Here is a 23,445-nt window from a genome sequence, read left to right on the forward strand (position 1 = left end):
CCGATAGATGGTGGTTTGTATATGGCAGGAGGTCGCCAAGAGAACACAGGAATTGCAGCCCCACACAGAGCACGAGATGGCCCCGGACAGCACACTGAGCTAACGCAGCAGGCAGCAGAGACCACAACGACTGATTCTAGTTATGCCACACTCCGAAAAACCAGGCAAAGAGATTCCACGGGCAAACACCAAGGCAGGGCCACCTGGGGGTAAGGGGAGCCCCGAGGGAGTGCAGTGGGGCGGGCAGGGACTCTTGGGGTCTCTTAATGCTCAGCTCCTCAGTCTGGGAGCTGGTGAATGGGTACGTCCAGTATGAGAGCACTCAGCATCATATGTGCATTTTACATATGCTCCATTCCAACACAAAGCTGACTTAGAGGAGCCTGTTCCTCAGGGAACTCTCATCAAGGGGCACTGGAAAGGCAGACTCTCACCTGAGGGCAGCCTCCCCGACGGCCATCACGAGAAGGCTGCCTTCAATCAAAGCGATGTCTGCCCGGCGGCCGGTTTTCCCGCTCAGCTTGACCTGTGTGAGGAAACAACCGAGCAGAGGCACCGTGCTTGCTGAGACGGCCTGTCCCGGCTTCAGGAGCCTGGAGTCTCTGGTCCTCAGTGACTTCATGGAGACTCACCAAGTGGGGGAAACATGGGGACAAATGATAGAAACTCTGTGAGGTGGCTTTGGGTTTTGAGATGTAGGGGCCGAAGCAAACCACTACTCTTGTACATTAAATAATGGCTACTGGGCCGGCCGCAGTGGCTCATGCCTGTAATCCCAGCACTTTGGGAGGCCGAGGCAGGCGGATCATGAGGTCAGGAGATCAAGACCATCCTGGCTAACACAGTGAAACCCCATCTCTACTAAAAATACAAAAAATTAGCCGGGCATTGTGGCAGGCGCCTGTAGTCTCAGCTACTTGGGAGGCTGAGACAGGAGAATGGCGTGAACACGGGAGGCGGAGATTGCAGTCAGCTGAGATTGGGCCACTGCACTCCAGCCTGGGTGACAGAGCAAGACTCCGTCTCAAAAATAATAATAATAATAATAATAGTAATAATGGCTACTGAGCACAGGGTGTGGGCAGGTGGCCATCGGTGGACATGCTCTGGAGTGATCACTAAGTTGAGCTGGTGCTCCCTGTTCATCCAACCACACGCTCTGGGCAGGCCTATCATCCCTGTTTTGTAGAGAACAAACCTGGCCAGGGCCCACCGGCCAGTGAGGAACTGAGCAGGGTATTTAAAGCAAGGTCTGTGGACTGAACTGCATACCCCAAACTCATATGTGGGAGCCCTAACCCCCAGTGCAACTGTACTTGCCTTCAGGAGGTACTTAAGGTTAATGAGATCCTGGGGTGGATGAGCCCTGGCCTGGCAGGGCTGTGGCCGTGGAAGGAGACACCAGAGCTGGTGCTCCCTCTCCCTCCCTGCCCTGTGGGGACACCGGGAAGAGGCCCCTGCAGGCTGCTTAATGTGGGATATCAGCCTCTAGAACTGTGACAAATGTCTGCTGTCACGTCACGCAGTCCGTGGTAGGTTGTTACGGTGGCCCAAGCTGGCCCCTGGGACGAGGTCCCTGTGACTAGTGCCCATGTCCTCAGCCGCCCTTACAGGGCATGTAAAGGCCCGAATGAACACTGACTGAGAAAAAATCAGCTCTGTCATCTGCAAGAGCATCTTTAGGGAAAGTTCAGTGGCCTCCAAGGAGCAGGGATTCCTGTGGAACAAACCAGCTGGAAGACGGGGATACGGTCGCCTGCCCGCTGAGTTCTGCAGGTGGAATGAGAGGCTGTGCAGCGAGTGTGACTCTCTTACTTGCACCCCAGGTCATGAGGGGTGCAGCTTGGGGGTGGGCCCAGGCTGTCTCCCATCAGGCCTCACATCCACCCAAAGATGCAGGAGAATCTCCATCTCTTTTGTTTCCTTCACCTATGAATTGAATGTGGTATGATAAATAATGACACCGCTAGCTACGTTAGCCGCCCTAACTCAGTTGATAGGCTTTTTTTCAGTCTTGCTATCCAGAAGAGAAAGGGCCGTCAACGAGGCCAGAGAGAACCTGGCCCAAGATCCCCAGCGTGAGCCCCCAAGCCCACTCCCACTCACCTTCATCACTTCTTCTGCTTTGCCCTCAGGAGGCACCGTGTACAGGGACAGCCGGAGGTTCTCTGTGACCACCACCAGTGCCTCCCTCTTCTCCATGTAGAACAGCATCTGAATCGTGCTGTCTGCGGACACCACCTGAGTGGTCTTGCCCTTCTCATCCACATAGTGCACTGTCCCTGGGGACAAACGTGGGGTCACTACATGAGGAGGCCCTGGTTTATCTGCTTCCATGACCCTCACCAGCAGCCATTTCTATCAACTTAAGGACATTTTCAAAGCAAAGCATCTTCAGTATAAGAACTTAAAAATGGGCCGGGCAAAGTGGCTCATGCCTGTAATCCCAGCACTTTGGGAGGCCGAGGCTGGTAGATCACCTGGGGTCAGGATTTCAAGACCAGCCTGGCCAACGTAGTGAAATCCTGTCTATACTAAAAATACAAAAACTAGCCAGGCGGGCGTGGTGGTATGTGCCTGTAATCCCATCTACTTGGGAGACCTAGGCATGGGAATCACTTGAACCCCGGAGGTGGAGGTTGCAGTGAGCCAAGATTACGCCATTGCACTCCAGCCTAGGCGACAGAGCAAGACTCTGTCTCAAAAAAAAAAAAAAAAAAAAAATTAAAAATGAAGCATGTGACCTGACCTTACAGGCTGCAACCTCCACTTCATGGGTTCAGCTCAGCCTCAAGCTGTCTCTATGGATTCCTCCTCTGCCCCTGTCTTGGAGGGTTTCACATCCACACTGCTGACCCTGCAGATCTGGCAGCCTCGGAGCTCTGAGTCCACCTCATACCCTCCACACGCTGAGGCCCTAAATGACAAGCCCTCTCTGTGGCCACTACTCCCTGTCCTTTCTGCCCTGGGTGTCGCTGCTGTGCCGCCTGCCTCCTGCCAGGCTCTCTCTGGACCTCCCTCTCTCAACCTCCACAAGCTGCTCCTGGCCTAAGCTACAGGACTTAACTGTACCCAGCCTGGAATCCCCCTCTTCCTGCCCTGCCTGAGCCTGCTCCGGTGCTGGCCAGCCACTCTGTCTGCAGGCCCTGTGTGAGCTTGGGGACTCAGGCTCATTTTTGCTGCTCTGTGGAGACTCCTCTGGGAGCCTTCTCACCTGCCCCTCCCCTCTCATCTTTTTCCCGATGGATAATGAGTTCTTATTTTTATTATTAATTCTTTTTTCAAGAGACAGGTTCTCACTGTGTCAGCTAGGCTGGAGTAGAGTGACATGATCATAGCCCACTGCAGCCTCAGCCTCCTGGGTTCAAGTGATCCTCCCAACCAGGCCTCCCAGGTGACTGAGGCCACAGGCACCACCACACCCAGCACAAACTCTTACCCAGCTGAAGAGTTCAGGATCACCTAGAGGTGAATTGTGACACCAACTAGTATTTAATAAGTGCACAGTACGTGGCAGGCTCAGTTCTAAGCATCTTTACGATAACTGGGTAGACACCAGTATTACCCCCTTTTCCACATAAGGACGTGAGGCACAGCGATGAACTCACCCACAAAGCCTACAGCTCCCGGACAACCGGCAGGAATTCGCAGCCCACACGCCACCAGAGCCAGGCTCCTCCCTGGCACGCACCCCCTCCTCTAGGTGACCAGCGCTTCTTCCTTGTGGGCCTCATCTCTCCACCCCCTTCTCATTAGCCTTCCTGGGGGGCCCCATCCTGGCACGCCCCCTCCTTGCCATCTCACAGTGCTGTGCCCACTCGGATGTCCCCACTGGGATCTTCTCAATGTCCCCCCTCCATTAGCTCTATGTCTTCACCTTCTAAAATGAAAGATTTCCCTTATTTAAAAATTACAAAAACCACACAGCCCCGTCTGCTCTCATCTGCTCTCTTCTTCCTGTCAAGATCCGGCTGCTTGGTGAAACCGATAGCAAAAGCCTCCTTTCTCCCGAGACCCGGCCACCTCTGTGTGGCTCTCATCTCCTCAGCCACGCCAGCAACCCACACACCTGGGCTAGTGTCACATGGCTGTAAGAGATGCGCTTTTTCTTTTAACTTCATATTGCATTTATTCTGGCCTTGGCTGCGCAGCCTGTCCCCCTCGTACAGTGAGGAAGAACGGGCTGAACACCAGCCACACGGTGTCCAGCGCTGACCTCCCCATGAAGGCTGGCCGGGGGCCTCAGGCTGGAGTGAAACCCCCTGCCCTGCTCACACCTCATTCCCACACCCTAGCCAAGTACCTGGCATACAATAGGTGCTTGATAATTACACAGACTGAATACCAGGGGTGCCACCAAATAATTTTTCCAAAACTGTCTCTGGTGCCATGCAGTCAGCCTGTAAATGCTGATTAAAAGCCTCCTCATGAAAACCCTTCAAACACAAGCAAAACTCAACTTGTCTATCAGAACAAAGCGAGGGCAACATTTCAACACTGGATGGATGGCTGCAGAGAGTGGCTGCGGCACTCCGCCTGGCACACGTCATCTTTCTGTGCAGCCTGCTGCTATCACCGTTACTGTTCTATGCAGAAACGCCATCTGTGAGTTTAAAATCCCTACCAGACACCCCTAAAATGCTAGGACCCCTGAGAATCACAACCAAAGTTCCTCACCGTCCATCAGACTGACAAAGAACAACAGCCCCTCGTGAGACCCCATCTTCAGCAAACTTCCAGAACTGCTCTTCTTCCAGTTAAACATGTCCAGGGCTTTCTCATCACCGCTCACAGCTGCCTTTGCCAACTGAACCAGGTCCCTGAAAGCAAACACGACACGAAGCAAGATTCTTCTGCCACTCCTACAGCACCTCAGGGCTGGGGCCCCTCCTGGGTCAGGAGCAGCCCGCTTCCCACCTCCCCCGATGTAAACACACACACAGGTCACAGGGCAAGCCCCACACTTACTCGCCAGGAGGGGGGAGCCGGAAGATGCAGTGCGTGAGGTGTTTCCCATACTCGTGTTTCAGCAGAGGCGTCCCTTGCACTCGGCCCCTTTGGTCCAACCTCCACAAGAGCAAGACACCAAGCTGGAAAGACCCAACACCACGTGTTAGGACAGGTGTCCCGGCAGAGCGACTGGTGGAGGGACAGGTGTCCTGGCAGAGCGACTGGTGGTGGGACAGGTGTCCCGGCAGAGCGACTGGTGGAGGGACAGGTGTCCCGGCAGAGTGACTGGTGGAGGGACAGGTGTCCCGGCAGAGTGACTGGTGGAGGGACAGGTGAACACCAGCCACACGGTGCCCAGCACTGACCTCCCCATGAAGGCTGGCAAGGTACCCTGACGGAGTCACTGGCGGAGGGACAGGTGTCCTGGCAGAGTGACTGGTGGAAGGACAGGTGCCCTGGCAGAGTGACTGGTGGAGGGACAGGTGCCCCGGCAGAGTGACTGGTGGTGGGACAGGTGTCCCGGCAGAGTGACTGGTGGAGGGACAGGTGTCCTGGCAGAGTGACTGGTGGTGGGACAGGTGTCCTGGCAGAGTGACTGGTGGTGGGACAGGTGTCCTGGCAGAGTGACTGGTGGAGGGACAGGTGTCCTGGCAGAGTGACTGGTGGAAGGCAAAAGTTAAACTGTGCAACAGAACACATGCATATTCCTTTTTTAAAAAAGTTACAAAACTACTGTGTATACACGATGAAAATTTCAAACAATTCAAAAGTTTTTAAAGAAAGAACTGGAAACTCTTCTACAGAGCGTCTCCACATCTTCATGCCTAGAGTTAGCAACTGCTATATTTTCAACTTTTTAAAATAAACTTTTTTTTTTTTTTGAGATGGAGTCTCACTTTGTCACTCAGGCTGGAGTTCAGTGGTGTGGTCTCGGCTCACTGCAACCTCCGCCTCCTGGGTTCAAGCAATTCTCCTGCCTCAGCCTCCTGAGTAGCTGGGACGACAGGTGCATGCCACCACACCCAGCTAATTTTTGTATTTTTAGTAGAGACAGGGTTTCACCATGTTGGCCAGGCTGGGACCCCACGTGACATCTGGCCGCCGTGTCTCCTCAGGCTCCTCTGGGCTATGACAGGGTCTCAGGCTCTTTGTCTTAAGGCCCTGGACAGTGTGAGACCTGCTGGCTGGGTATATCATGGGATGCCCCTCCACTGGGATTGTTGATAGTTTTTCTCATAGTTGCCTGGGGTGGAGGACTTGGGGAGGAGGAGCATAAAGCTGAGGTGCCTTCTCTGCATGCTGCCGGCATTGTCACTGCCGGCATTGACCTCGACCACCTGGTGGAGGTTGTGCTTGTGGGGTCTCTCCACTGTGAAGCAGCTCTTCCCCGGATCCCCCTCCATCCCGTACTGTTCAGAAAGAAGTCACTCTCTGCAGCCTGTACTTGAGGAGTGGGAGATACACCCTACCCTCAGGGGTGGAGCATCCATGTAAACCACCCGGGCTTCTTCAGCATGGGAGACCTGCCTCTTCACCACCATTAACTCATTCATTCAATCCTGTGTTTGCATCAGGGTGGACACGTGGGTATTTACTTCCCATGCTGGGTTATCATCCAAGGCTGCTTCATGTATTCTGTTGCTCACATTGTGCCAGCTTTAAGCTCTCTAGTTGGCCTCTCTGTCCCTTTGATGTGCCCCCATTACCTGGGTTTGGTGAGCACTTCCTTTCTGGTGCCCTAAGATTACCTAGGTTCATTTTATAAAAAAAGTTTTTTGTTTTTTTTTTTTGAGACAGGGTCTCACTGTGTCGCCCAGGCTGGAATGGAGTGGTGCAATCACAGCTCACTGCAGCCTCTGCTTCCAGGGCTCCTGTGATCCTCCCACCTCAGCCTCCCGAGTAGCTGGGAATACAGATGCTCACCACCACAGCTGGCTAATTTTTGTATTTTCTGTACAGATGGGGTCGCACTATGTTGCCCAGGCTGGTATCAAACTCCAGGGCTCAAGCAATTTTCCCACCTCTGCCTTCCAAAGTGCTAGGATTACGGGTGTGAGCCACAGCGCCTGGCCTAGGCTCATTTTTGTATTCCAGTTCTGGAATCAGCCATTTCTCCGAGGAGCCACGGTTGTTTCCTGGAGAATGGGGTAAGAAGTGAAGTCCTCGTGCTTGGTGCGCTGCGTGCTCAATCTAAAACCATCACAGTCGCAACTGCGCGGCACAGACAGGTGCGAGTGGAGTTCGGGAAGGGGAGGACGGCTCCACAGGGACAGCCGGCGGGGCCTCCCGGGACGAGGGGATGCGGTTAGGCGGCACCCAGGGGCAGCATCTCAGTCTGAGTCCGTGTGCGTGGCTCTTCCGCTCAGACGCCAAGCACTCCCCAGGGGACGCTTCCTGGCCCAAAACTGGGGGCCCTTTAGCCCACAGTACGCTCTTCTTCCCACCGCCTTTTCAGGCAGCACCGACTCCAATCTCCCCAAATGCTGGATAACATGCTTTTTATTGTACACAGGAAGAGTATTTTCAAATAATGTCAGATTTAAAGGAAACTTGCAGGCCGGGCACGGTGGCTCACGCCTGTAATCCCAGCACTTTGGGAGGCCGAGGCGGGCGGATCACAAGGTCAGGAGATGGAGACCCTCCTGGCTAACACGGTGAAACCCTGTCTCTACTAAAAATACAAAAGATTAGCCGGGCGTGGCGGCGGGCGCCTGTAGTCCCAGCTACTCGGGAGGCTGAGGCAGGAGAATGGTGTGAACCCAGGAGGCGGAGCTTGCAGTGAGCCGAGATGGCGCCACTGCACTCCAGCCTGGGTGACAGAGTGAGACTTCGTCTCAAATAAACAAACAAACAAACAAACAAATAAATAAAATAAAGGAAACTTACAGACCAGGCTTGGTGGCTCACGCCTCTCATCCCAGTACTTTGGGAGGCCGAGGCAAGCAGATCACGAGGTCAGGATTTCGAGACCAGCCTGGCCAGCATGGTGAAACCTGGTCCCTACTAAAAATACAAAATTAGCCAGGCATGTTGGTGCACACCTGTAGTCCCAGCTACTCGGGAGGCTGAGGCAGGAGAATCACTTGAATCTGGGAGGTGGAGGTTGCAGTGCCATTGCACTCCAGCCTGGGCGACAGAGTGAGACTCCATCTCAGAAAAAAAAAAAAAAAGGAAACTTACACAAGGAACCTCTAAGAAAGGTTTTGCAAGATCTATTAAAATAGCATGTGGCATGTAAGTACACGTCATAGGAATAGTGTATATTATCATATGATTCTTGACTCTAACAGCTTGATGAAGACAAAAATAAAAACACTAGGCAGCCCAGGCACAATGGCTCATGCCTGTAATCCCAGCACTTTGGGAGACCGAGGTGAACAGATCACTTGAGGTCAGGAGTTCGAGGCCAGCCTGGCCAACATGGCGAAATCCTGTCTCTACTAAAAATATAAATATTAGCTGGGTGTGATGGTGCACGCCTGCTGTAATCCCAGCTACTTGGGAGGCTGAGGCACAAGAATTGCTTGAACCCAGGAGGCAGAGCTTGCAATGAGCCAAGATCCCGCCACTGCACTCCAGCCTGGGTGACAGAGTGAGGCTCCGTCTAAAACAAACAAAAACAAACAAACAAACAAAACCACTATTGGTGTATTTGTGTTTAGTAATTTTTAAAAAATATTTTAAAAATAATGCTTACATATTGAGAAAACCCCCCACCTAATGATAGAAATGAAAATGAATGACCCCCCCATCCCCCTCCCAGCCTCCTCCCTGGAGCCGAGGACCGCAGTGGCTCCCGTGTCTGCAAAGCATTTTATGCACACCACATCCTCAGAGGCATTCATTCCTGTGCCCTTCACATGTCATCTGCTAGTTTTTTGTTTTGCTTTGTTTTGTTTTGATTTTTTGCACAAGTGACTTTAGAAATCTTTATTAGCACATACGAGCTTCTAGCTGACCACTTAACCAGCATTCTCAACATCATCAGACAGGCTGATGTCCAAGTTTCCAGGCTGCCACCTGGAATGTCCAAGTTTCCAGGCTGCTGCTCTGGGGGAAGAGGTTGTTGGATGCAAAAGTTTAGAGCGCCTGCGCCCAAAAGCAGAGATCTCTGCTCAGGAGGATGAAAGCAAACCCTCGTTCTGAGAGAGGGACAGATGTCTACTATCAAGAGCTCAACTTCCACCAACTCAGGGGAAAGGAAATCACAGGACGCAATGAGTCAAATATTCCTGATCCTCAGGTTTCTGCCCAACGATCCTGGAATGTGAGCATGAAGTACAAGACGTAGAACTGAGCCCGAGGCGCCTCCACCTCCTCGGCTGCACCCTCTGCTCCTCACCCCTGACTCTAGCATTGAGCTGCCCCAGGGTCCAGGCTTGGGTCTCCTCCGCCTTCATTTTTTTGTACCCGTCACCACTCCTGAGGGGTGTCTCTCCACCATCTGTGAATTCTGCGTTATTTCACACGGTATAATTTTATACAGTAAGACCGTAAAGAAAAGCTACCCCAAAGGTGAGAAACCAGCTCTCCTTGTGAAGAGCCAGAGTTAAGTGGACTAAGGGGCTGATGGGAAAGTGGCGTGCGCTGGATGAGCGTCTTGGGGGTGCATCACGGCATCAGAGTGCGAGTTAAAGTGGTGGGTTCTCCAGCGGCACGTCACTGGGAAGCTTTGCTAAAGGCTGGCTGGCCCCACATCAGGGTGCGCGTCAGGTGAGGGTTTACTTGACCCTCAGACTTGGCTCGCAGGAGTTCCCCAGAAGGCGTGAGTGGCCTGGCCCGTCTAACGTGCTCTCCTCTTCTCTACTGATGGGACTTCTAAGGACACTTAGTGGGAAATCCCTTTCTAGGGATTGCCCGCCTCCCTGGTTACTGCTGATTGGTGCACTGTGGGCACTTGGCCCGAGCTGGACTTTGAGGCCCCTCCCTGAGTCTGGACTTGGGACAGGGAGCAGGAGCAGGCCGTCCTAACCTGGCCGTGCTCTCCTGGGAGACTGTGGGATACCCCAGCGGCCTCAGGTTAAGTGCACTTCTAACTTCAGCTGGTCTGGGCTGATTCCACGGGTAACCACAACAGGGTCTCTGGTGGAAGAGCAGGGAAGCGCCTTGCACCAAGTCTGGGGAAGAGATGTCTCTGCAGTGTAGAGTTCCGAGTGTTGTTCCCTCTTGATTACTTCTCTTCCTGCTTGAACTCATTACTAAATTAGTTCCAGCACAATCTTAGATTTTCTTAGAAGGATTAGGCATTTCTGCTCTTAAATATTCTGACTCACAAGACTTGATCAACTGATACCTGGGTTTCATTTTATGCCTGGATAATCTATTTTGCTAGCTGTTTCTATCTTTCTTTTATTCAAGAGATGGGGTCTTGCTATGTTGCCCAGGCTAGACTCAAACTCCTGGGCTCAAGTGATTCTCCTGACTCGGCCTCCCAAGTAGGTGGGACTACAGGTGCATGTCACCATGCCTGGCTTACTTGTTTCTCAACACAGTCAAGCTGAGAATTACAAAAGTCAATGATCCTGAGTTATTTTATACTAATGTGGGATTGGCAGATGGTTCCACTGCAGAAAGTAGGAAAGATCACCAAAGAAGTAGAAATCTGGGGACAGGCCAATGTCATTAGGTGGGAATTAAACAGAAAAATGGAAGAAAAATCATCCAGAAGAAGGGAACAACCTGATAAAAAAAAAACTTGGCGAATAATATGATTAGAAATAGAAATACAAGCCGGGTGCGGTGGCTCACGCCTGTAATCCCAGCACTGTGGGAGGCTGAGGCGGGCAGATCACGAGGTCAGGAGATCAAGACCATCCTGGCTAACACAGTGAAACCCCGTCTTTACTAAAAATACAAAAAATTAGCCAGGCGTGGTGGCGGGCACCTGTAGTCCCAGGTACTCGGGAGGCTGAGGCAGGAGAATGGCGTGAACCTAGGAGGCGGAGCTTGCAGGGAGCCGAGATGGCGCCACTGCACTCCAGCCTGAGCGACAGAGTGAGACTCTGTCTCAAAAAAAAAACAGAAACACAAATGGCTCCTATAAATGATATTCATCCTTGATAGCAAGAGAAACATAAATGAAAATTCTAAGAAACACTTAGACCCACCAGGGAGCTGTTCTGGATGAAAACACTCTGAGATACTACTTTCCTGAGCAGTTCTGCTACTCACACGCAACTCTCTAGGGAGAGAGGCTGGTGTGCACTATGAGCCGGCCCAGGCCCCAAGGACAGTGGTTTGGGCATCCGCTAAGCCACAGGGCATGCCCCGGGACCCATCTGCACCCCCTTCTTGGTGCTTTCTAAATGTACACAGGTGAGGGCAAGGAGCAGCCGCCTGCCTTGGCCTCCCAAAGTGCCGAGATTGCAGCCTCTGCCCGGCCGCCACCCCGTCTGGGAAGTGAGGAGTGTCTCTGCCTGGCCGCCCATCGTCTGGGATGTGAGGAGCCCCTCTGCCTGGTTGCCCAGTCTGGAAAGTGAGGAGCGTCTCCGCCCGGCCGCCATCCCATCTAGGAAGTGAGGAGCGCCTCTTCCCAGCCGCCATCACATCTAGGAAGTGAGGAGCGTCTCTGCCCGGCCGCCCATCGTCTGAGATGTGGGGAGCGCCTCTGCCCCGCCGCCCCATCTGGGATGTGAGGAGCGCCTCTGCCCGGCCGAGACCCCGTCTGGGAGGTGAGGAGCGTCTCTGCCCGGCCGCCCCGTCTGAGAAGTGAGGAGACCCTCTGCCTGGCAACCACCCCATCTGAGAAGTGAGGAGCCCCTCCGCCCGGCAGCTGCCCCGTCTGAGAAGTGAGGAGCCTCTCCGCCCAGCAGCCACCCCATCTGGGAAGTGAGGAGCATCTCCGCCCGGCAGCCACCCCGTCCGGGAGGGAGGTGGGGGGGGTCAGCCCCCGCCAGGCCAGCCGCCCCATCCGGGAGGGAGGTGGGGGGGTCAGCCCCCCGCCTGGCCAGCCGTGCCGTCCGGGAGGGAGGTGGGGGGGTCAGCCCCCCGCCTGGCCAGCCGTGCCGTCCGGGAGGGAGGTGGGGGGGTCGGCCCCCCGCCCGGCCAGCCGCCCCGTCCGGGAGGGAGGTGGGGGGGGGGTCAGCCCCCCTGCCCGGCCAGCCGCCCCGTCCGGGAGGTGAGGGGCGCCTCTGCCCGGCCGCCCCTACTGGGAAGTGAGGAGCCCCTCTGCCCGGCCAGCCGCCCCGTCCGGGAGGGAGGTGGGGGGGGTCAGCCCCCCCGCCCGGCCAGCCGCCCCGTCCGGGAGGTGAGGGGCGCCTCTGCCCGGCCGCCCCTACTGGGAAGTGAGGAGCCCCTCTGCCCGGCCAGCCGCCCCGTCCGGGAGGGAGGTGGGGGTGTCAGCCCCCCGCCCGGCCAGCCGCCCCGTCCAGGAGGGAGGTGGGGGGGTCAGCCCCCCTGCCCGGCCAGCCGCCCCGTCCGGGAGGTGAGGGGCGCCTCTGCCCGGCCGCCCCTACTGGGAAGTGAGGAGCCCCTCTGCCCGGCCACCACCCCGTCTGGGAGGTGTACCCAACAGCTCATTGAGAACGGGCCAGGATGACAATGGCGGCTTTGTGGAATAGAAAGGCGGGAAAGGTGGGGAAAAGATTGAGAAATCGGATGGTTGCCGTGTCTGTGTAGAAAGTAGAAGACATGGGAGACTTTTCATTTTGTTCTGCACTAAGAAAAATTCCTCTGCCTTGGGATCCTGTTGATCTGTGACCTTACCCCCAACCCTGTGCTCTCTGAAACATGTGCTGTGTCCACTCAGGGTTGAATGGATTAAGGGCGGTGCAAGATGTGCTTTGTTAAACAGATGCTTGAAGGCAGCATGCTCGTTAAGAGTCATCACCAATCCCTAATCTCAAGTAATCAGGGACACAAACACTGCGGAAGGCCGCAGGGTCCTCTGCCTAGGAAAACCAGAGACCTTTGTTCACTTGTTTATCTGCTGACCTTCCCTCCACTATTGTCCCATGACCCTGCCAAATCCCCCTCTGTGAGAAACACCCAAGAATTATCAATAAAAAAATAAATTTAAAAAAAAAAAAAATGTACACAGGTGCAAAATGGCAAAAGCATAAGGTTACTCACTGCACCATTGTCTAATTAGCAAAAGATTGAAAACCACCAAAATGTTAATCAACAGGGGGCTGGTTCAGTAAATTACAACATTCATATAAAGAAGAGCCGGTTTAAAGAAAACAAGGAAGTTTACTGTTTACCCATATGGAAGAATCACCAGGATACGCTGTAAAATGAAAAAGCAAGAGACATGACAGTGTGTATAGGATGCCACCACTGATGTGAAAAAGAATGAGGAAATCAGGAGACAATGTCCTCTACGTGATATTTCTGCCAAAAACGTTTGAAATGAAAGTATTATGAGGAGACAAACACAGCCAACTTGAGTGAGAGTCTATAAAACAACCAGTCTACATCCTCAAAATGTAAATTTCATGAAAGACCAAAAAAAAAAAAGGGAGGAAAAAAGGAAGGAATGCAGGCAACTAACCAACCAACTGACCAGGGAATTGTTCTTGATTAAAAAAAACTAGCCAGACGTGGTAGCTCACACCTGTAATCCCAGCACTTTGGGAGGCCGAGGCAGGCAGATCTCTTGACGTCAGCAGCTTGAAACCAGCCTGGCCCACATGGTGAAACCCCGTCTCTACTAAACATACCAAAAATTAGCTGGGCATGGTGGTGCATGCGTGTAATCCCAGCTACTCAGAAGGCTAAGGAGAGAGAATCGCTTGAACTCAGGATGTAGAGGTTGCAGTGAGCTGAGAACGTGCCACTGCACTCTAGCCTGGGCGACAGAGCAAGATTCCATCACAAAAAAAAAAAAAAAAGAGAGAGACTAGAGAGAAATAACAGAAATGCAACGTATGAGCCTTTACTGGATTCCTGCTCTAAAGGACATTCCTGGGACAGCTGGAGAAATGTGAACATAAACTGCATCTTGGATGTCAGCACTGTCACTGTTACATTTCCTGGAGTGTGAGAACTCTACTGTGCCTGGGTAGGGAATGCCCTAGGCCTCAGGAGAGTGGCGTCTAAGCATGTAGGGCTGAAGCATCGTTATCTGTGATAAACTCACAAATACTCAGGTAAAATACCCACGTAGCTGGAGGGAAAGCAGACCTGGCAGTGGGAACAGCGGGCGAATCGACATGGAGGGTGGATGCGTGTCCTTGCACTGTTCTTTCAACTCCTCTCATAATGTAGAAATTTCAAATCTCAAGTGAGAGAAAGAATGCACTTGTGTGTGCCTGAAGCAGCAGGATAGGTGGTAAGAATGCACTTGTGTGTGCTGGAAGGCAGCAGCCAGGGGACTGAGGAGACAGGACATGGCTCAGTCTTCACTCTAGATGCCTGTTACCCTTTTTGAATCTTGGAACATGTGAATGTGTTACCTGTGGTTATTTAAGTAAACACATTGTAACATTTCTGCCATATATTTGTGATTCAGTTGCCTCTGCACCATGTCGCTATGCTGTGGGTCTGTCCTGTGTACTGTGTGATGGTGGGCAGCATCCACCACCCACCCACAGGGGTCCAGCTGAATCCTCCCCCAAAATTGTGACAACAGAAAATGTGACTGGACACTGCCCCATGTCCCCTGGGGGGCAGAACCAACCCTGGTTAAGAAGCCCTGAGCTAGACAAACAGGCCTAGGGAAAAGTGACAGTATCTGGGCACGTATCTTTACGAATGCAGTTTCCCAGCAAAGTTCATTTATAAAGGTGCAGACACACCTTTGCCACAGAGTGGCAAATTTTCAAGCCTTGCTTCCAATATAAAACAAAATCTACAATTGCATCTGACAAGATCAACTGAATTTGGCAACAGCACGGTTCCCATATTTTGATCTTTCATACTCTCGAGCATGGTCAGAAAGGGTCAAGGTCTGAAAACAGCGTCTTGCGCGTGTTGACTCACCCTGTCCCCAGACAGCAGGCAGTTTCCACTGGGGCTCCAACGGAGCACGGTGATGTCGGCTGTGTGTGTCAGGGGCATCGTGTGCTGCTCCTTGTCCTGCTTGTTAAACACCGTCACTTCTCCAGTCTCCCAGCCCACAGCCAGCACCAGCCGCGTCGGGTGCCAGCACAGGGAAGCAACCCGGAACGGCCTCTCGACGTGTGTATCTGGCACGCACTCCCCCTGCATTGGATGAGAGGCAAATTCCCACAGTTCAGAGAGGGACAGCTACTTTTAAGAACTTCTGTCTAGGCCGGGCACGGCGGCTCACTCCTGTAATTACAGCACTTTGGGAGGCTGAGGTGGGTGGATCACAAAGTCAGGAGTTCGAGACCAGCTGGGCCAATTTGGTGAAACTCCGTCTCTACTAAAAATACAAAAATTAGCCAGGTGTGATGGCGGGCGTCTGTAGTCCCAGCTACTCGGGAGGCTAAGGCAGGAGAATTGCTTGAACCCAGGAGGCAGAGGTTGCAGCGAGCCCAGATCGCACCACTGCACTCCAGCCTGGGCGACAGAGCAAGACTCTGTCTCCAAAAACAAACAAACAAACAAACAAAACTTCTGTGTGATCTGTGGACTCCACATTGGCGACAAGGTACAAAAGCTATTAAGGCAATGGGGCAATGTTCTCAGTAGACTCTTTAATTTTTCATAAAAACGCACCAACCTTGCCCCTAGCTGAGCTACCAAAGCAGAAGGTAACTTGTGCTCAGCTGGCAACCCCGACCAGCTTCTCATGGAGTGCCACCTTGTCATGATGTGCCACCTCCTCCCCATGGCTGCTGGATGGCTGGCACGCATTTTAGTGCGTGGCTGGGTTCCCTAAAACCTTATCTACAAAAACCACCAGCGAGCCAGCAGGTGAGGTTTGTGGCCCCAGGGATCTCAAAGTGTTGTCCAGAGACCCCAGGACCCTTTCAGGGATCTGAAAGGTGAAAATTATTTTCAGAATAATAGTGACAGGTTAGTGCCATTCATACTCTCCTTCTTTCACGCGTCTACAGTGGAGCTTTTCAAAGGCTGTGTGATGTGGTGATGTCACTAATGACAGCTTGTGAGATATGTGCTGCGTTTCCTCTTTTTTTTTTTCTGAGATGGATTCTCACTCTGTAGCCCAGGCTGGAGTGCTGCAGTGGCATGATCTGAGCTCACCGCAACCTCCGCCTCCAAGGTTCAAGCGATTCTCCTGCCTCAGCCTCCCAAGTAGCTGAGACTACAGGCGCGCCACCAAGCCCAGCTAATTTTTGTATTTTTAGTAGAGACAGTGTTTCATCATATTGGCCAGGCTGGTCTCAAACTCCTGACTTCATGATCTGCCCGCCTCGGCCTCCCAAAGTGCAGGGATTACAGGCGTGAGCCACCGTGCCCGGCCATGTGCTGTGTTTTCTAAAATTTTCTAAAGCAGCAGCTTTGGGGAAGATATAAGTGCGTTTTCAGAGATTAACTTGGTTTGCCCCCAGTTGTTCCACTGGGCTTAGGAGCCATCTTCTGTGATCTCATCATTGTCCAATAGATCACTATTTTGAAATCCTGAAGTTTTCCTTGTGCCAACTGGAAACACAGAAATATGCTATTGACTAGTTTTATAATAGTATGCTTTAGATCTTCTAAATTTAAAAATTTTACCTAAAATTGCTATAACTTTGGAATTTAATAATATTTATTTTAAAAAATATCCCATTTACCATATATGTTATAGGCTCCTGCAAGGGAGAATCTACCCAAAAAAATGGGCAAAAGTGGGGTTGGTGCTGGGGCTGGACTGAGCCCTAAGTCTGGCACGGCCTTCGCAAAGCTGCCAGTATATGGAGGAGCCTGCTGGCAACAGGGGAGCCGCTGACCAGCGCTGCATCGCGCTGCAAGGGCGTGTGTGTGTGTGTGTGTGTGTGTGTGTGTGTGTGTGTGTGTGGAGGGGGGAGCAGTTCCTAAGGGGCCACTTAGCCACTTTCACCTGAAGGATTAATGCATTAATTACAAAAATGGATGAAGGAGTGTCTTCTTTGCAGGTGGCACAGCATGTGCAGGGCTGGAAGGCCGAGGAAGGCTGTGCAAGGCTGTGTCAGCATCAAGGAAGGTGAGCCTGATGTGACAGGTGACAGAGCCAGACCTGGGAGGCGCTAGGGGCCACATCAGGGACTCCATGTTCACCCAAAGAGCAGCACAGGGCCGGGGAGGTGGGAGCAGGGAGTGATTCCATCTGTGATGCCAAGACAGGCCAGGCCTGGTTGCCGTGTAAAGTAGAGGAGGCCTGTGAGGGCACAGCTGCCACAGTAGGAAGCTGTACTGGTGTCCAGGAGAGGGGGATGGGAACCTGGAGGAGGGAAGGGCGGTTGGAAGGGCAAGCAGCAGCAGACTCGCCAGAGGTTCCGGGGGAGAAACTGGGAGGATCTAGTGATGGATTACAAGGTAGGGGAGTGGGAAATGTCAACAGTCATGCCCAGGTTCTTGTTCTAGAAACCAGGATAAAGGGGGTGACTTTCATTGAGATGGGAGGTGCCCATCTCAGTGAGCAGGAGATATGAGGCAGGGGAAGGGTGGGGGACAATTTCAGTTCAGTTTTGTACAGTCTGAGGTCTCCTTGAAACACCCTAGAGATGTCAGGAAGGCAGCTGGGTCCCTAAGCTTACAGCTCAGAGGGAACTTCTAGGCAGGAGATGTATGTCTGCAAGCCACTGGGGATGCTCAGATCACAGGAGAAGGAAGAAATGGAGAGGAGCCCTGACCAAGCTCTGCAGAAGGCCATGGTGCTCACAAGCTGGAAATGGAGGAAGAGCTGGCAAAGCCATGGAGGCCGGGCAGGGAACGCCCTACCCCTGCGCTCTCGGGCATGTTTCCCAGAGGACTTCACAGGAGTGTGGTACAGACAAGGACCCCAAAACACTCAGGGGGTGACACCTAGAAGCAACTGATGACTGTCGCTGCTTGGGTGAAGTTGTGGTGGCAATAGGGAGCCTGCAGAGGGCTGAAGAGTGAGTAGAGGAGGAAACCTCATTTTCTTATTTATTTATATTTTTTGAGATGGAGTCTCACTCTGTTGCCCAGGCTGGAGTGCAGTGGCGTGATCTCGGCTCACAGCAAGCTCTGCCTCCTGGGTTCATGCCATTCTCCTGCCTCAGCCTCCTGAGTAGCTGGGACTACAGGTGCCCGCCACCACGCCCGGCTAATTCTTGTATTTTTAGTGGAGACGGGGTTTCACCGTGTTAGCCAGGATGGTCTTGATCTCCTGACCTCATGATCCACCCACCCCGGCCTCCCAAAGTGTTGGGATTACAGGCGTGAGCCACCGCACCTGGCACCTCATTTTCTTTATGGAATATGAGGTGCACTGGGCACCGAGAGGGTGATTATCGAAGTCTGAGGAGCTTGGGGAACGTTTCTGTTAGGGGGTGAATTGTGTCCCCACAAAGATATGTGGAAGTCCTATCCCTGGTCCTTGTGACATGGCGTCCTTTGGAAACAGGGTCTTTGCAGATGTGGGTAAGCTCAGGTGAGGTCATTAGAGCAGGCCCTAGTTACATATGCCTGATGTCCTTTTAGGAAGAGGAGAAGAGACGCAGACATACAGAAGGGAAGGCCGGATGACACCAGAGGCAGGGCTGGAGCAGCGCATCTGCCAGCCAGGGAGCACCAAGGCTTGCTGGGAACAGCAGGAGCAGGACAGCAGCTCGGGGCAGACACTCCCCTCAGCCTTCAGAGCCAGCGGGCCCTGCTGACACCTGATTTTGGAGTTCTCGCCTCCAGAGCTGCCAGAATACCTTCCTGTTGTTTAAAGCCACCCAGTTTGTGGAAATGATTAGAGTTCCAAATGGCCCCTATGGAGCGTGCAGGAGGGCACTGACAGAGGAAGATGCCTCAGGATCCACAAACAGCACTGTGGGGACATTTCTGGTGATGACTGTGAACTGATAGTGGCTTAATGCTGATAAGCATGAAGGATTCCTAAACATGTCCCCAAGCCACCAAAATAGCCAGCGTGAAAGAACTGCCCACATACTAGGGCTTTTATAACCCTGGGATTTGGCCTCTGTGAAAACTGATGACGGATGTCGTTTTCTTTTTTTTCTTTTCTGAGACAGAGTTTTGCTTTTGTTGCCCAGGCTGGAGCGCAATGGCGTGATCGCCGCTCACTGCAACCCCTGCCTCCTGGGTTCAAGCGATTCTCCTGCCTCAGCCTCCCGAGTAGCTGGGATTACAAGCATGAGCCACCATGCCCGGCTAATTTTGTATTTTTAGTAGAGATGGGGTTTCTCCATGTTGATCAGGCTGGTCTCGAACCCCTAACCTCAAGTGATCCACCCACCTCGGCCTCCCAAAGTGCTGGGATTACAGGCGTGAGCCACTGCGCCTGGCCTCATAGATGTCGTTTTCTTCATGAATAAGCTAGAGTAGAGTTCGTTTGAAAATACACACACGCACCACACGCACACACACACACGTGTGCACACACACGCATACACCCCCCCACATACAAGCATACAGATGCACACACACACCCATATGCACACACCCACGTGTGCGCACACACACACAGATGCAGACATACATATGCGCATACACACACCAATACACATACACGCACACACAGATGCATGTATACACACACACACCCATAGGCACACACACACATGTGCACACACACAAGGACAACAGCAACACAAACAACATGAGCCAGAAGCTACCACAGTCAGGCTCCTTGCTTCTGAGCACTCACTTGCTCCAGGTAAATATCCACGCTGCCTGTTGAGGTTGTGCTGATGTAAGCAACTGCCAAGAATGGATGGACAGGGTGCCAGCTGATAAATGAGGGTGACCCTGCTGCATCCGGGGCTTCTATCTGGTGGTCATAATAGAGGGCCATGACGGAACTCAGGCCTCCTCAGCGCTGAAACCTGCAGGGAAAAAAAAATGACCAAGTCCAATCAGTTTTAAATAAAACAAACAATATGACTGTACATGGAATGACGAAAAGGAAGCATCCCAAAGCCACCATCGGAAGACCATCGGCAACTTGAAAATGCCTTGCGGACTGAGCAGGCAACCTGATGCGAGGAGATCTCCAACAGGGAGACATGCAGAAGAGAAGCAGTTAGACCCGGAATCACCCAGGCTGTGACAGAAACGAATACAACTCATGGCCATCAAAGGAGGAAAGAAAGAAAAGGCCTGCAGCCTAACTACACACGCAATCCTCAGTAACTTTCATTCCAGTCACAATAAGGACAAGTTCTATTTCTGTAGTTCCCTTTAACTTTTTAGACCAAGTCTTGCTCTGTCACCCAGGCTGGAGTGCAGTGGTGTGATCACGGCTCACTGCAGCCTCAAACTCCTGGGCTCAAGTGATCCTCCCACCTCAGCCTCTCAAGTAGCTGGGACTACAGACATGCACTACCATGCCCAGCTAATTTTTAAGTAATTTGTGTAGACACAAGGTTTTACTATGTTGCCCAGGCTGGTCTTGAACCCCTGGCTCAGGTAATCCTCCTGCCTTGGCCTCCCAAAGTGCTGGGATTACAGCCGTGGGCCACCACTGCCTTTTAAACAACATTTTCAAACAAAATAAATGCAAACTGCTCCAGAAAAGAGTACTGGTACAGAAAAAAAACCAGTACTGAATTTCCAATAAAGCATAAAATCAAAGACTGTCTTTTACCTCTGACTCACAGGTGGTAGAAGACAGAAGTCTTCCTCTATTAGAGAGTCAAGAATGCACAGCCGCAGCAGCTGTGAGAAGTTGAGCTTGATCACTTACGTGAACTTAATCTCTCTCTTTCATTCTTCCTTTCAGATCTGGAAAAGATATACACATCGTCCCTTTTCAGGCGGGTTAGGGTGATAAATAAAGTGACGGTCTGGTTACTGCTCACTTTTTTACACCTCAGTCAATTTGGGGAAGTTAACTGGCAGAGAAGAACATACTTGTAGCCGGGTTTGCCACCATTTAAAATTATACAGGCTCATGCCTGTAATCCTAGCAATTTGGGAGGCCGAGGTGGGCAGATTGCCTGAGCTTAGGAGTTCGAGACCAGCCTGGGCAAAATGGCGAACGCCACCCGCCTCTACTAAAAATACAAAAGGTTATCCAGGTGTGGTGGCAGGCACCTGTAATTCCAGCTACTCCGGAGCCTAAGACAGGAGAATCACTTGAACCTGGGAGGCAGAGGTTGCGGTAAGCTGAGATCGCGCCACTGTACTCCAGCCTGGCAACAGAATAGGACTCCGCCTCAAAAAAAAAAAAAAAAAAAAGAAACCCGAACAACAAACAAACACTCCAGATCAAAACCTGGGCAATTTAAAATAGCAAAAGAAACCTTTAAATTAAAAAATATATATTGTTTAGAGACAGGGCCCCCAGGCTGGAGAGCAGTGGTGTGATCATGGCTCACTGTAGCCTTGAACTCCTGGGCTCAAGTGATCCTCCTGCCTCAGTCTCCCAAGTAGCTGGGATTACCTCTTAAAATGAGTTTTGGCCAGGCATGGTGGCTCATGCCTGTAATCCCAGCACTTTGGGAGGCCGAGGCGGGTGGATCACAAGGTCAGAAGATCGAGACCATCCTGGACAACATGATGAAACCTCTTCTCTACTAAAAAATACAAAAATTAGCTGGGTGTGGTGGTGCCTGCCTGTAATCCCAGCTACTCAGGAGGCTGAGACATGAGAATCGCTTGAATCCAGGAGGCGGAGGTTGCAGTGAGCCGAGATCTTGCCACTGCACTCCAGTCTGGGCGACAGAGCAAAACTGTTTAAAAAAAAAAGGGGGTTTTAACATGTTGCAGCCAGCCCCAAGGTTACAAATCCTGGGCTAAGGGAAATTAGGATCTAATAAGTTTACTCTGTGAAAATATTTCTCTGAAAAATGAGTGATACATTAATACGACACTGTGCAATAACTATGAAGGCAAACGGCCCTAATTGCTTTCTTTCCTGCCTGGGGTTTTTCAAGGTTCCCCCCGGCTTTGGGTAAGGGAGCTCTCTCAGGGCTTGATGGCTTTACCTTTGTCGTGTGCTTCTTGCCCAGTGTCCCCACACAACGTTGCGCTTCTCCGTGGCTGCATTTAGACTTTACCGTAAATGTGAGTTTCACTGCTCACACATTGCCCCCCATATTATCTTCCCCAGAGAGCAGGAGGCACCCAGTATTCCCACCTCCTTACAACAGTGCCTTGCACAGAACAGGCCCTGCGCGGATGAAACTTAGCAAGGAGAGAGATTCTTCCTGTTGTATCAATATAAGAAACGGGTTCCAGGCCTGCCTGAATGAGTTCCATACACAATGCATTAATATAATTGTTCATAGTTCCTTTCAACGGCCTCTTAACAAGTTCCCAAAATGAGTATTATCAGTATAATTTAAAAAGTTAACACAAGGAGGAGAGATGGCTGACAATAAAATAGTTATGTACTTGATGACAATCTGTAATAGCTTCAGGTCGGAAACAAGTACCTTTCCTTTTCTTGAAACAAAGTTCCAGTCTCTGGAACATAAAACCGGGAAATACATCAACTTTGGGGAACAGGAGAAAAACTGTATTTATTCTAACCGAAGTACTCCTCTCACTTTCAGGCGTCCAGCGTCTCCAGAGCCTCTACAAGTGCCTCCATCAAACCAGCTTTTGGGAAAGAATCTGTTAAGCCCATTCAGCTAAGCGGCACGGGGTCACAGGGCTTTGAGTAGCCTTCCTCGGTGACGCTGAGTAGGGAACTCCGGGATGGGGCTCCACGGTGGACTCTCGGGGACAGGCACCCGGGGCCACCCTACAAAGCCTCGCCCTCCAGGCCACAGTCCAGAGCCTTCGGCCTGCGCAGGGTCCTCGCTGCATCCAGCGGACGGTACTGAGAAGCCATGCGCTGGCGGTTTGATGCAACACGACCCTCAGGGCCGACCCAGCGAGTGACCAAACATAGCATGTTTTTGTTTTGCATCTCTCGTTTGTCCCGTTTCGCCTCGGGGGTGTGATGGCGCCGCCCACCTCCCCACCCCGCCCATTCCAAAGGGACTCTCCCAGCTACCGGAATCAGCCGCGATTCGAGGCCGGGCGGGGGCGACAGCCATAGTCCGACGAGCGACCTGGACCCCGCGCCAAGCCCGCCCCAGCCTCGATGGGACTCGCGAGGGGCCGCGGGGACTCGGCGGCGCCGGGATCGTGGGAGGAGACGGGAGGGTCCCGACGCCCGCCACCGGTCACATCCTCGGCCCCAAACCCCGGCCTGGCTCCTAAGGACCTGGGTCGGCCGCCCTAGCCCTAAGGCCACTCACCTCTGCCAGGCCGCTGAGCCGCCGCGCGTTGCCGGGACAACGGCGCGCCAGGAACGCGGAAATAGCCGAAGGTGAGCGAGGCGGCCCCGAGGACTCCCGAAGCGCCCCGAGCGGCCGGAAAGAGCCGAAGGCGATCGGGCACGCACGTGCAGCTCCGAGGCCCGAGCGTCGGGGGCCAGGTTATTCCGCTCTGCAAGAGAGAAGCGGGACGAGCTTTTTCTAGGAGAGACGGCGGCGCAGGGCCGGCGTCTGGGTCCCCTTTGTGTGGAGGGCGCGCTGT

General features: G+C 52.6%; 1 protein-coding gene and 1 long non-coding RNA gene across 24 annotated transcripts in view, besides 1 other annotated feature; one reads left to right on the plus strand and one right to left on the minus strand.

Moving 5' to 3' along the window:
* LOC105371046 (uncharacterized) overlaps nt 1-22,830 on the plus strand; it is a 29,802-nt gene extending 6,972 nt beyond the window's left edge. Inside the window, exons 2-3 of the long non-coding RNA NR_135176.1 lie at nt 16,917-16,984; nt 22,473-22,830. This is a non-coding gene — a long non-coding RNA (uncharacterized LOC105371046). The remainder of the gene's footprint in view (nt 1-16,916; nt 16,985-22,472) is intronic.
* The window catches only part of IFT140 (intraflagellar transport 140), a 101,646-nt gene that overhangs the window by 77,072 nt on the left and 1,129 nt on the right, over nt 1-23,445 (minus strand). For 8 of the 23 annotated variants that reach the window (XM_047434970.1, NM_014714.4, XM_011522771.4 and 5 more), the window contains exons 2-8: nt 23,166-23,355; nt 19,622-19,799; nt 14,872-15,093; nt 4,969-5,090; nt 4,678-4,820; nt 2,107-2,282; nt 435-526 (exon numbers count right to left, since the gene is read on the minus strand). In XM_047434970.1, coding sequence (XP_047290926.1) covers nt 435-526; nt 2,107-2,282; nt 4,678-4,820; nt 4,969-5,090; nt 14,872-15,093; nt 19,622-19,768 — 902 coding nt within the window. In that variant the 5' untranslated portion in view covers nt 19,769-19,799; nt 23,166-23,355. Of the gene's footprint in view, nt 1-434; nt 527-2,106; nt 2,283-4,677; nt 4,821-4,968; nt 5,091-14,871; nt 15,094-19,621; nt 19,800-20,560; nt 20,699-21,902; nt 23,356-23,445 lie in introns of those variants that run through there. The other 15 variants (XM_006720991.4, XM_047434974.1, XM_047434976.1 and 12 more) reach the window with 9 other exon arrangements.
* Nucleotides 22,901-23,280: a silencer, noted in NCBI's record as "silent region_6991". NCBI's record gives its function as "represses an Ori minimal core promoter by ATAC-STARR-seq in GM12878 lymphoblastoid cells {active_cell/tissue: GM12878}" and the evidence as "EXISTENCE:reporter gene assay evidence [ECO:0000049][PMID:35858748]".

The sequence above is a fragment of the Homo sapiens genome, chromosome 16 (assembly GCF_000001405.40).
Source record: "Homo sapiens chromosome 16, GRCh38.p14 Primary Assembly".
In the NCBI taxonomy this organism is placed as follows: Eukaryota; Metazoa; Chordata; class Mammalia; order Primates; family Hominidae; genus Homo; species Homo sapiens.